The sequence below is a fragment of the Homo sapiens genome, chromosome 10 (genome assembly GCF_000001405.40).
Source record: "Homo sapiens chromosome 10, GRCh38.p14 Primary Assembly".
NCBI classification, from domain to species: Eukaryota; Metazoa; Chordata; class Mammalia; order Primates; family Hominidae; genus Homo; species Homo sapiens.
Genome location: NC_000010.11, coordinates 19,597,308 through 19,610,955, shown reverse-complemented (window position 1 = coordinate 19,610,955; position 13,648 = coordinate 19,597,308). Strand labels below are relative to the sequence as shown.

Sequence of the window (13,648 nt, the reverse complement as noted above, 5' to 3'; positions counted from 1 at the left end):
ACCATCACCATCACCACTACCATTTACGTAAGGCCTGCTATGTGTCAGGGACTGGCCTAAGAGTTTTACATGTGTTATCTCACTTAGTCCTTCATAACATTGTGTCTTATATACCATAATTATCCTCATTTTGCAGAGGAGGAAAGTGAGGCCTTTCATATAACTTACTTGAGTTAATAGCAAAGAAGCATCTGAACTAGAACTAAACCCTTGTCTTCTGACTCCAAAGCCTGTTAGAGTAAAAATGTCAAATGATTAGCTATTCATCTCAGAATTTCTACAACTGCTTGCAGTTTTTGATGCTGTGGGCATACAAACCCCTTTGAATCATGTGGCATTTATGTACTGTCCCAGATAAGTATGCATATACACAATTATCTGCACATAGTTTGAAGAGATATATACACCTAGGAGTCCACCCGAAGATTTTGTGCAACAAACCAAGTCTCAGAGGGAAGAGATTATTCTCTTTATCTTGAAATCCTGGCACAGGGACTGCAGGAAAATCTATCAAACCTCAAAAGTTGATATCATAGAAGCAGAGAACAGAACAGTGCTTACCAGTGACTGGAGAGAGGAGAAAAAGGACAGGCAGAGGTTGGCCAATGGGTACAAAGTTACTATTAGATAGAAGGAATAAGTTTTGGTGTTCTACTGCACAGTAGGGTAATGGGTGAATATTAAGATATTGTATATTACAAAACTGCTAGGAGAGAGGCTCTTCAACGTTCGTACCACAAAGAAATAATTAATGCATGAGGTGATGGATAAGCTAACTACCCTGATTTGATTATTATACAAACTGTATGCACTGAAATGTCAAATTGTACCTCATAAATACGTATAATTATGATGTGTTAATTAACAAATAAAAATAATAATAATAAACAAACTTGAAGTAGCTCCATAGTACTTGCCTGAGAAGTGTTTGTGTTTGTTTTGGTTTGTTTTTTAAATACTTCTGAGACTTTATTAAGCTGTATCATCATCATCATCATAATCACCACCATTATCAATATTTATTATGTATAGTATTATATTTATAATGTCCCATCCTACAATTTTACATTTTTAGTGACCTTTCCTAATTCTCCTTCAAATGAATGATTATCATAATTATAGTTTCACCTTAGCATAAGCTTTATTAACCTCTACTACTGCAAATGACTAGAAAAACACTTTCAGTTTAGATTTAGCCAGACAAATGCTGGCCAATAATTTCTGGTTGCAAAGCAACAAAAACTTGAAAATAATATACTTGCATAATATAAGTTAGGCATGAACAGGATTCATTGAAATATATGTAGCCTGCAACATCTATACAGTGCCGGAGATTAATGTTCTTGTTTATGACTTAAACCTCAAGGTAGGTGAGGCCAGATAGTGACCATGGTGAGACCACTATGGGAATTACTGGATGCTGTAAGGATTGGGTTTACAAAAGCCTATTAAATGCTGACCTTAAAAGAATATAATGTTGGAAAGAAAGAGTAATGTGTAATGTACATTGACAAATCTTTAGTGTGGGTCAGGCTTAAAGATATCTTAAAAACAGAAGCTTGGCTTTAATATATTTGATTGACAAGCCAAAAAGCATACAACATGTAAATAGATAAAACATAATATAATAGGGATTTTATTTCTGAAAACTGTATTTCACCAGTTCTTTATTTTACTCTAACCCAATATCTGTGTCAACATGACCTACACTTTCTAAGTGAACTGTAAACATGACTGGTGAGTGATGAAAAGAGACAGACAACAAAAATGTGTTCTATAGCACTACCTACAGATTGTCTATGGCTGGGTATGAATGACAAGTCTTCTGTTTTTCTGATCCTATTTTTAAAAGTAGATTATATCAAAGAAGATAACAGATTATAACATATTATATTTGTGCTCCTATAGGACCATGCTGAAGATAATCTTGTCTTTATGTAAATAAGTTTGGGTCTGGCATAAATACTGTCTTAATAGTGTCAAAGAATAGAGCTACTCAGTAACGGCTTTCCTACTCTCTGGAAAGAAAATAATACTGGTATCTCATCTGAAGTACATGCATTCTGAGTGCAGAGAAAGTGACAGAGTATCCATCTTTGCACATTTTATGGGGCCAGATCTGGTCACTTTTTCATTTGCTTTTGTACTCATAAAATGCAGTGGTCTGTGAGTACTCACTTCTAGCAGTATAAAAAAATAAGACTTTTTCACAATGTGATTTGATTACAATTATCATTCTTACAACATATATCTCATAATATTTTCCTCTCTTGAAAGATACAGAGTATTTTCTTAACTAGTTTTGATATAAAATATTTCCAACTTATTTAGGAAATTTCACTGAATATATCTCTATCATTAATTTATATTATCCTTTAGTTAGGACAAAATTATATTACCTTTAATGATCTGTTATTTTATATATCATCCATGTGAAATAAAAAAAATCATCTACTCAGGAGAGATGTTAACAAAGGGCTACAATAAATTAGAAAATTTTAAAGCAGTTTTGATAAAAGTATAATGACAGATATATACTGTCAGTTCCTATGCTGTATACATGTTCCAAGGTCAGAAGAAAGAAAAATGTTTAGAAGTCAAGCTAAGGTTTAATAGATTTGCTATTAAATATGTAACTAGATTATGCAAATAGAAAACTCTTATAAAGAAGTGGACAAAGGAAGACCACAATTTAAAAATAAAATAATAGTACTAGATTGTATAGGGTTTCCTTATTATAGAAACCAAGCAATTTTCAGAGGAGAGATTATTAAATGCTAATAATCTTAAATTACATTGTGTTAAAATTACATATTTGATTTTTCTTTTCTTATCAAACATTGTGTAGAACTAGCATGAGCCCATTATATGTTTATAATACTTTAGACATGTGGCAATTAATGTCAACATTCTTTCTGCCCCCAAACCAAGAATAGAAATTCAATTATTCCATGCTTGCCATTGTTTAGAACCTCAAGTTTTAATATTTTCATTGTGTTGCAGGTTAAGTTGCTGGTTCATATCACAAGAATATCTGAATGGAAATGGGGTACCGGAGCAGCTGGACTCATCAAGCTGGAAATCCATGCAGTCGGCAAAACCATCACAGCGCTGGTGGGCTGGGATACAGCTGTTGGAGGAGGCACACACCAGAGCTCCATTAGAACAGCTTTTGTTGGCTGCAAAAAAAAAAGAATAATGATCAGGGATGCCAGCATGATTTTTTTTTGTCCCAATGAATTCTCACAACAAAATAACATAAAACAGTTTATTATATTACTCTTGATTTTTTCTAGTCTGATATTTTAGAACACAGTTCTTTTTGAAGAATATTTCAAATGGATTAACTTAAAAATGTCTGAAAGAAAAACCACATTTGCCTGAAAAATCACTTCGCAGATGTGCATTCTTAGGGACTGAATTGTGTCCTCACCTCAACATTCATATCTTGAAACCCTAACCCGCAACAGGACTGTATTTACAGATAGGAGCTTTAAGAAGGTAACAAAGGTTATAAGAAGAGAGAGACATCAGGGATGCAATGACATACAGGAAAGGCTACGTGAAGACACAGCAAGAAGGCAGCCATCTGTAAGCCAAGGAGAGAGGCCTTAGGAGACACCAAACCTGCCTACACGTTGATCTTGGACTTTTAGCCTCCAGAAGTGGGAGAAAATAAATTCCTGTTGTTTTAGCTATCCAGTGGGTGTTATTTTCTTACGGCAGCCTGTGCTGACTAATACATGCATTATGTAGTATTACACATATCATCAAATGCATTGCATGAAATGCAAGCAGACACTGATCTGACTTCAATAGGCAAACATTTCAATAGCATAGAGATGCTAATACTCATAAGACTTTGGTTGTTTCGAAAAGTGTCCTTATTGATGTCCATCAAGAGCACTGATGCCTGTTCAATGGCTACCTAGTCTTGCAAAGCACTTTACCTTTCTGTATACAACGTGATTAATTTAATTATATCTGATTTGTCTATTAGGAAGCTCAGTTTTCCTAAAATAATTATCCTAAAATTGTATTATGTTCTTCCTTTCTTTAGGATTACAACTTCCTAGAAAGAAGAGGCTATGGTTGGCATTGGTTTTATGTGTTAGAGTTAAATGGGAACTTCTCATTTCAGGCTGCCACCCAGTGTGAAATATGGTTCCTCTGTTATCCTGCTTGCTTCAGGACCTGGAAGCCAAGAAGCCGGGGTTGCAGGCCTGATCCCTTTTCTGGTTCTCCTCTGGTTCTGGTCTGTGCCAGTGGTGATGTTCATCTTGTTTCTCAGAGTGTTTAATGGGATAACTCTACTGTCTAGCACTGTGATGTGTGTGGAGCAGAGGGAATGTGTCAAAGCATGAACCTACTGCACCATTTTGTCAGAAAGTCTGGATAGATTTCAAAAGCACTAAATAATAATGGTATTGATCTATACTTGTTTTCTAACCCTGCTCCTCTGAGTACCAGGGTTCAGCAGAAATATGTCAAAGGCAGCAGTAGATAGTCAGAACTGTCTTGCACTTAACCCAGGTTCAACAAGAACAGCTTTGTTTTCCTCTGATTTACTTAACGGTATCATATACAACTTCTCATTGAACATTTTACTCCAAACCTGCTACTAAAAGTTTAAAGAGGATTAGTCTGAAAAATTCCTTGCACATGAATAAAGACAATGAAGTTACAACCTTTTCAAAGTAAATTATTTAAATGACCCAAGAATAAATGTCCCCATGTATGGTTCTTATACAGATATTGCCAGTTCTTTCATAAATTATTTTTTTCTTCAAGTATAATTATGAGTTAGAACAAATAATTTATTTTACTTATCATAGGTAATTGACACAATTAACTCTGAAAATGGCCCATTAAAATATATTTTAAAGTTGGACGTAAAAAAAATAGTGTTTTTAAGAATATGTATCTCCATTGACTGAAAACGCTGACTCTGAAAAATTTAGGCAGTACTCTTTATTGAGCAATTCTTCCTAAGGTGCTAGAATATCAATTCACAAAAAAAATATTGAGCTTCCACCACATGTAACACAGTGTCTTAGAACTGAGAATGTAGAGTTCAGGGGAGAAATTTAAAAATGAATGACCAGAATCATACATGGTGATGACAAGAGAACAACAATACAGGAGTGATAAACAGCTGAAAATAATAACAAAAGAAATTCCATAAGGTCAAACTTAGTAGGCAAAGCATTGTTGTAGATAAGCATTTATAAAAACGAGAATTCCTTTAGCATACGGAGATCTATAAAGGCTGAAGGTCAAGACCAGAATATTGAAATATATTTAAAATTTTAATATTTCTAGAGAAAAGCCATATAGTAAAGTAGGAATAAAGTCTACAGATGGAAAATCAATAAGTTTTCTATTGGTTCAGTGAGTACAGCAGGTCGCTTTTGACTAGGGAGGTTGGATAAGGAAGTAGCACAGATAAACCAAAAAAAAAAAAAAAAAAGAAAGAAAAACAAAGCTGGTCCAGGCGCAGTGGCTCACGCCTGTAATCCCAGCACTTTGGAATGCCGAGGTGGGCAGATCACATGAGGTCAGGAGTTTGAGACCAGCCTGGCCAACATGGTGAACTCCCTTCCCTACTAACATAATAATAATAATAAAATAAAAATAGCCAGGATTGGTGGCTCATGCCTGTAGTGCCAGCTACTTGGGAGACTGAGGAAGGAGAATCACTTGAACCTGGGAGGTGGAGGTTACAGTGAGCCAAGATCGTGCCACTGCACTCCAGCCAGGGAATGGAGCAAGATTCTGTAAAAAAAAAAAAATAATAATAAAAAAATAAATAAATCTGTAATCAAATGGTAGAAATTGTCTAGGGTTTCAGGAGAAGACTGATCTTCAGCTTTCCCAAATGTTTAAATCATTTTAGGATATACATAGACAAGATAAATTACATTGCAAACCAAGTAAACTAGGAAATAATAATCTTCAAACTCTTATAAGATAAACTCTTAAAGCAAAATCTTAAAGATAATGTTTATTAAAAATGAAGAAGTATGCACAGGTATATCTCAGCAATATGGCAGGCTCAGTTCCAGATAACCATAATAAAGCTAATGTTGCATTAATGCAAGTCACATAAAATTGTTTTGTTTCCCAGTGCATATAAATGTTATGTCTGCACTATACCTTAGTCAATTAAATGTGCAACAGCCTAATGCCTAAAAAAATAATAACTAGAAAATATTTAGTTTTTAGTTAAGCCAGGCATTGACTTCTCCTCTCTAGCTGTGGAAGTCCTATGTGGCATCTTCTTCCAATAGAAGGCTCTTTCATTGACACTGAAAATCCGTTGTTCAGTGCAGCCACATTCATCAATGATTTTAGCTAGATCTAGATAACTTGGTACAGCTTCTCCATCTCAGCATTTGCTGATTCATCCTGTACTTTCATGTTATGGTGATAGTTTCTTTCCTTCAACTTCATAAACCAACCTCTGCTATCTTCTAGCTTTTCTTCCAAAGCTTCCTCACCTCTCTCAGACTTCACAGAATTAAAGATAGTTAGAACTTTGCCATAGATTAGGCTGGAGCAGAGGGAATGTGTCAAATAATGAACCCATTGCACCATTTTGACAGAAAGTCTGGATAGATTTCAAAAGCACTAAATAATAGTGGTATCAATCTATTCTTGTCTTCTAACCCTGCTCCTCTGAGTTCCAGGGTTCAGCAGACATATGTCAAAACTTTCTCCATATCCACAATAAGGCTGTTTTGCTTTCCTATCATTTGTGTATTCACTGGAGTAGTGTTTTAATTGCCTTCAAGAATTTTTCCTTCACATTCACAACTTGGCTGTTTGGAGCAAGAGGCCCAGCTTTCAGCCTATCTTGGTGTTCAACATGACTTACTCATTAATAATCATTTCTAGCTTTTGATTTAAAGTCAGAGATCTGCATTTCCTCCTTTCACTTGAATACGTAGAAGCTATTGTAGTTGGCCAAACTGCAATATTGTTCAGCCTCAGGGAATGGGGAGACCCAAGGAGAGGAAAAGACAAACAGGGGAATGGCTGGTTGGTGGAGCAGTCAGAACATACACAACATTTATCAATTAAATTTACCATCTTATATGGGCATGGTTCATGGCACCACAGAACAATTACAGTAGTAACATCAAAGATCACTGATCACAGATCACCATAACAGACATGATAGTCATGAAGAAGTTTGAAATATTGTGAGAAACATTAAAATGGGATACAGACACGAAGTGAGCATATACTGTTAGAAAATATGAAACCAAAAAAGGGCCCGCATTGCCAAGACAATCCTAAGCCAAAACAACAAAGCCGGAGGCATCACACTACCTGACTTCAAACTATACTACAAGGCTATAGTAACCAAAACAGCATAGTACTGGTACCAAAACAGAGATATAGACCAATGGAACAGAACAGAGCCCTCAGAAATAATACCACACATCTACAACCATCTGATCTTTGACAAACCTGACAAAAACAAGAAATGAGGAAAGGAGTCCCTATTTAATAAATGGTGCTGGGAAAACTGGCTAGCCATATGGAGAAAGCTGAAACTGGATCCCTTCCTTACACCTTATACAAAAATTAATTCAAGATGGACTAAAGACGTAAATGTTAGACCTAAAATCATAAAAACCCTAGAAGAAAACCTAGGCAATTCCATTCAGAACATAGGCATGGGCAAGGACTTCATGTCTAAAACACCAAAAGCAATGACAACAAAAGCCAAAATTGACAAATGAGATCTAATTAAACTAAAGAGCTTCTGCACAGCAAAAGAAATTACCATCAGAGTGAACAGGCAACCTACAGAATGGGAGAAAATTTTTGCAATCTACTCATCTGACAAAGGGCTAATATCCAGAATCTACAATGAACTCAAACAAATTTACAAGAAAAAAAACAACCCCATCAACAGGTGGGCAAAGGATATGAATGGACACTTCTCAAAAGAAGGCATTTATGCAGCCAACAGACACATGAAAAAATGCTCATCATCACTGGCCATCAGAGAAATGCAAATCAAAACCACAATGAGATACCATCTCACACCAGTTAGAATGGCGATCATTAAAAAGTCAGGAAACAACAGGTGCTGGAGAGGATGTGGAGAAATAGGAACACTTTTACACTGTTGGTGGGACTGTCAACTAGTTCAACCATTGTGGAAGACAGTGTGGTGATTCCTCAAGGATCTAGAACAAGAAATACCATTTGACCCAGCCATCCCATTACTGTGTATATACCCAAAGGATTATAAATCATGCTGCTATAGAGACACAAGCACACGTATGTTTATTGTGGCACTATTCACAATAGCAAAGACTTGGAACCAACCCAAATGTCCAACAATGATAGACTGGATTAAGAAAATGTGACACATATACACCATGGAACACTATGCAGCCGTAAAAAATGATGAGTTCATGTCCTTTGCAGGGACATGGATGAAGCTGGAAATCATCATTCTCAGCAAACTATCGCAAGGAAAAAAAAACAAACACCGCGTGTTCTCACTCATAGATGGGAATTGAACAATGAGAACACTTGGACACAGGAAGGGTAACATCACACACCGGGGCCTGTCATAGGGTGGGGGGAGGGGGGAGGGATAGCATTAGGAGATATACCTAATGTAAATGATGAGTTAATGGGTGCAGCACACCAGCATGGCGCATGTATACATATGTAACAAACCTGCACGTTGTGCACGTGCACCCCAGAACTTAAAGTATAAAAAAAAAAAAAAAGACTATGCTACCTGCAAAGACGGACAAAAAAAAAAAAAAAAAGAAAATTGGCACTGATAGACTTGCAGGATGCAAGGATGAAGACCTCCAATTTGTAAAAAATGTGACATCCGTGAAGCGCAATAAAGCAATACACAGTAAAACAAGGTATGCCTGTTTTATTTATTTTATTTTGTATGCACACAAAAATATGTGTCTATATATGTATCTATGATATATATTTGTGTATATATACACAAATTTTTGTGTGCATACATATTTTTATCATTATTTTTCATTGCAAAAAGCTGAGAGATCAGATAAGATCATAGTTTCAAGGTTTTAAACAATATAACTTAACATTTTTATACAAATATGGCAGATACTACTCATCTTCTTGAAAACATATATTTTGAACCCTTCCTCTATTGGAGATAGGAATTTATCCATATTTCTTCATCCAATTTCTACTGTGACTGGTAACTTATTTTCAAGTTGACTGTTCAATAAAGAGCTCTAATTTATAAGTGTTATAAGTTCACAACTTTGGCACAAATACAGTTAAAACACATTAAAAAATCAGAAAATAAATGGTTTCAATATAAAAAGCTTTACTTTTTTCTTAGAAAGTTAACCGTTTAGATAGTTAAAAACTGACTTTGGCTTTATGAAATTTGTAAACAAAAATATTAGTTTCTGTTGCATTTTAAATAGCATTAATGTTATATTTAATATTTATAAATTTTCTTTTAAGAGTAGGTAGCAAATAAATTATGAATGCATCTAATATTTATTGGCATCCATGAAGCAAATAACATTGTACTGAATATAGGAAAATAATCTGAGCCATTTACTTTATATTTTTCCTTCTTTATTAATATAAGTACAACATAGAATAATTCCAAAATTAAGCCAAAAAATTCACACATAAAATTCATGGAAAACTTAGGTTTCAAAATGTTTCCATGAATAATATCTATTTTTTGGTACATTCTCTTTCAGACATTATATTTTAATATCTATAAAATATTTATTTGGCTGAGCACAGTGGCTCACACCTGTAAGCCCAAAACTTTGAGAGACCAAGGCGGCAGGATCATTTGAGCCCAGAAGCTTGAAACCAGCCTGAGCCACCTAGCAAGACCCTACCTCTACAAATTTTGTTTTAAAAAATTAGCCAGACATGGTGGAGCATGCCTGTGCTGCTTGGGAGACTAAGGTGGGGGGATTGCTTGAGCCTGGGAGGGCAAGGCTGCAGTGATTTACAACTGTGCCACTGTACTCCAACCTGGGCAAAAGAGTGAGACTCTGTCTCAAAAACAAACAAAGAAACAAACAAAAATAGTTATTTCATCTATCATCCTAGAAATTGGTATTCTTTCTTAACAAAATAGGCTAAGTAACACAGGGCATTTTGTGCCACATAGCTCATTCACTCAGGTTGATGATACTTTAAACAATTCATGAATGGTTCATTGGCGCTACTTCCTGAAAGCAAAATTTCTTAATCGATTATCGTTGCTGCATGGAAAATATATTCAAACGTAGAATATGTAAGACTATGGATGTATACCCATTTTCTACTAAAATAAAATCTATATGCAGCAGGTCAATATTTCTAATGGCAGAGAAACTATGGTCTTGGGCTATGAGAATGAAGGCTACAAGCCCTTCAGGGCGCACACACCTAACATACAGCAGGATGGGTATTTATTTTATTCTTGATTTAAATTCAACCAGTACTCTTATTAAAATACCTTAGCAGTTTAAATAATTTTCAATGAAACTATAAGATAATTTAATGGGGAAAGGATAATAATTTATTGTGTGTATTATGCACTCTACCATATTGATTTCACTTAGTCCTCCAATATCTCCCTGAAACAGATTAATTACCATGATTTTTAATGTCAAAGAAACTGAGGAACACTGTTGTAAGAAATGAAGCTGGTAAATGCAGAGGAATAATCTTTACACTGTTGTTCAAAATCACTATCGGATGTTGGGATCATAGCTTTCATATTTAAAGGCCAATAGTAAAAATATTGATGATAAGGTTGGATCTACAAGTCTTAGGAATGTGGACCATTCTAAACCACCAGAAGTGGCATGCACTTCACAGGACACATCCACCGCTACTGGAAAGGAGGTAAGCTACCCACTTCTTCCCATTGTTTTTCACAGTTGTTCTGTCACTGATGGATAGTTTCCATGTACTTCTCCTGATCTATTCTCCACCTTCTCTCCCCATCTGGGCCCTGGAAGGCTGGATGATAAGGATACATTAATAAGCCTTTTAGTCTTCTGGTGTACGATTGGATTTGGTCAATGGGTATCACCACCAGCAGATTAATACAGAGCGAAGAGACTCTTTGAGATCAGCATGGACTAACCGCTTGCCTTAACTAAATGTCATGCCTCTTACCAAGTACTCCCTTCTCACTCTAGGCTCAGGCAACTGAACCTCCTCTCACACTCTTTGGTCTACAGGTGATAAAACCCCCCACTCTTACTATCCCTTATGGCTTTGCTATGCATACTATTTCTCTAATAAACAATCCCCTTATTAATATTTTTTCAACCTATGCGATATCAATAACTATTTCTTGCCAGGATATTGACTGACACAACAGCTGATGAAATCTTGAAACCCTCCTGGTGAACAGAAGATGGCTATCAGAGGAATATCAGTGAAAAGAGTGTTTCTAGTTTTGTGCTGTTCTTCCATATAATTAACTATGCTTCTTTTTTCTTTTTCTTTTTCTTTTCTTTTATATTTTTACGAAAAGGGGATATGTTTGATAAAAACTATATTGCTTCAGTCCATGAAAAATTAATGTTTCCAGTGGAAAGACAATATTCAATACGAAGTGTTCTTAAACGTTGAACTCACAGGTTTATCTAAACACTTCCAATGCTAGAAAAATTATTTCTGCAAAAATAAAGGCCTGTAAATATCAATTATTATCGATTTCCCTGTCTAAAATTGTAAACGTCTCCAAATCCTTAGTCCTACAACATTTAAACATGAGAAAGCCACTGAAAACAAAGAAACCAATTCTTTTTTCCTGCATTCCACTCCAATTGCAACTTCTTGAAAGAGTTATCTACAATTGATTTCCCTCTTCGACATTTCCCATTTGCTCTTAAAAAAGAATGGCTTCAGAATTCTGCCCTCCTACTCCGTAAAAAGTTCTCTCTCCAAAATCCCAAAAACCACTTTTTTGGCTTTTTCCAATTTATATTTTTTAGGCCCTCTCTTATTTGATCTCTCAGAAACATTTCAACCTGTGAATATTTTGATACTAAAGGATTTTTGCCTTTAAGATCCTCAGTCTCTTGTGACCCCGCTATGTCTAGGACCACATCTTCTCAGTGTCTTCAATGTCTGCTTTTTCTAAACAGTCTTTTAGCTGTTCTTTCAGGTTCTGCCTGCCACTTTATCTCTATCCTCTCTCTTTGATCTCATCTACACCCACAGCTTCAATAATCATACGCTGATGGCCATGTAACCTTATGTTATTTTAGCTCTCTCCTGAGCTTTATATATACACTTCCAAACACATTCTGAACCTTTTCATGTGCATGGGTCTCAGGTATCATAAATACAACACATCTAAAACTGAAGCCACATCTTCCCCCAACATGTTCTTCTCCTCTTACTTTCCCTAGCTCAAGCAATGGCACATGAGCTGACCTGATGTCCAAATTAGAAACTTGGAAGTCCTTCTTTTTTTTTTTTTTAATTAAAAAAACCACTCAGACTGCATTCTCTCCCTTTTACTTTCTGGAAGGAAGAGAAGGACATAATCAATGGCAAATGGTAGCTGGAACAAAGCAAGACCAAGAGCCAGATTCATGCTCAGGAGAGAAGGCTGTGCCTCTTCCTTGTGCTTCTGGTGCCCTACTACATGTTCAAAAAAACTTCTCTAGTGGCAAACTATAGACATGATCCCTGAAAGCACAGTCTTGGAAGTCACTGTTGATTCCTTTCTCTTCCTCATCACCTGACCATCCCTTAAGTCTATTAATAATATTTACCTTACACTGTTACCTAATCAATTGCTTTGTACTTGAACTGTGACATCTCCTAACCATTCCCTCTTCCTCACTCCAATCCATCCCATATCCAAGTTAAGTACCGTTATATAGCACTGGCATGGTGGCAGGGTGGTGAGGATTCTGCAAGATCTGGGTCCTGCTTCTCTCTCCAGGATTCTTTCTACATTTCCAACCACAGGCTCTGCTCTAGCAACACAAAATATGCTTCACTCTAACGACCTGTTCTCTGCTCCTGCAACAATCTTCACTTCACTTGAATCCAGATCTCTGCTTTATTCGTCCAATGACTATTTGTCTTTCCAAGTTTGGCTGTGTAATCACTACTCTTGTGAAAATGTAAAGAATCCCTAGCACCATAGAGAGTTCCCTATGTGCCTTCTAACACGAGGTGCTTGTCTCTGTCACAGGATTGCTCATATAGTATTCCTCACTTTCACTGACTAGCCTCCTTCACTAATGTATAGCACATCTTCAGCCTGAGCTCTGACAGTGTCATATCCATCTGTCTCATCAATGTGTAACATAATATGTGGCATCAGTTAGGATCTTAATGAGGTTTGTGAATAAATGAATGAATGAATGTGAGTTTACAAAATGACATTCTAAACCAATAGGAAAGCCCTCAAAGTCTGTTATATCTTCAAATGTTTGGTGAATTGTGGCCACTGAATTCTCTTATTCTATAATTTTGCTCTAGAATTTTGTCCCCAGTCTATTTCTAACGTGGCCTTATTTCCCTTTTGGAACAGAACTTCGCAGGACTAGGCAAACTCCAATTTTCCAATGAATGCTTAGCATTATAAGGACACAGTACCTTCCTAAGCTTCTCTTTAAATAGCAGTCTTATT

General features: G+C 36.0%; 1 protein-coding gene and 1 non-coding gene across 10 annotated transcripts in view; both read right to left on the bottom strand.

The window, feature by feature from the left end:
• Positions 1-13,648, bottom strand: part of MALRD1 (MAM and LDL receptor class A domain containing 1) — a 687,552-nt gene that overhangs the window by 123,523 nt on the left and 550,381 nt on the right. For all 9 annotated transcript variants that reach the window (XM_011519453.3, XM_011519455.3, XM_011519454.2 and 6 more), the window contains one exon: positions 3,054-3,179. In XM_011519453.3, the coding sequence (XP_011517755.1) occupies positions 3,054-3,179 (126 nt within the window). The remainder of the gene's footprint in view (positions 1-3,053; positions 3,180-13,648) is intronic.
• LOC124902595 (small nucleolar RNA U3) lies at positions 12,493-12,709 on the bottom strand. Its single transcript, XR_007062424.1, has one exon. It is a non-coding gene; the product is annotated as a small nucleolar RNA U3 (small nucleolar RNA).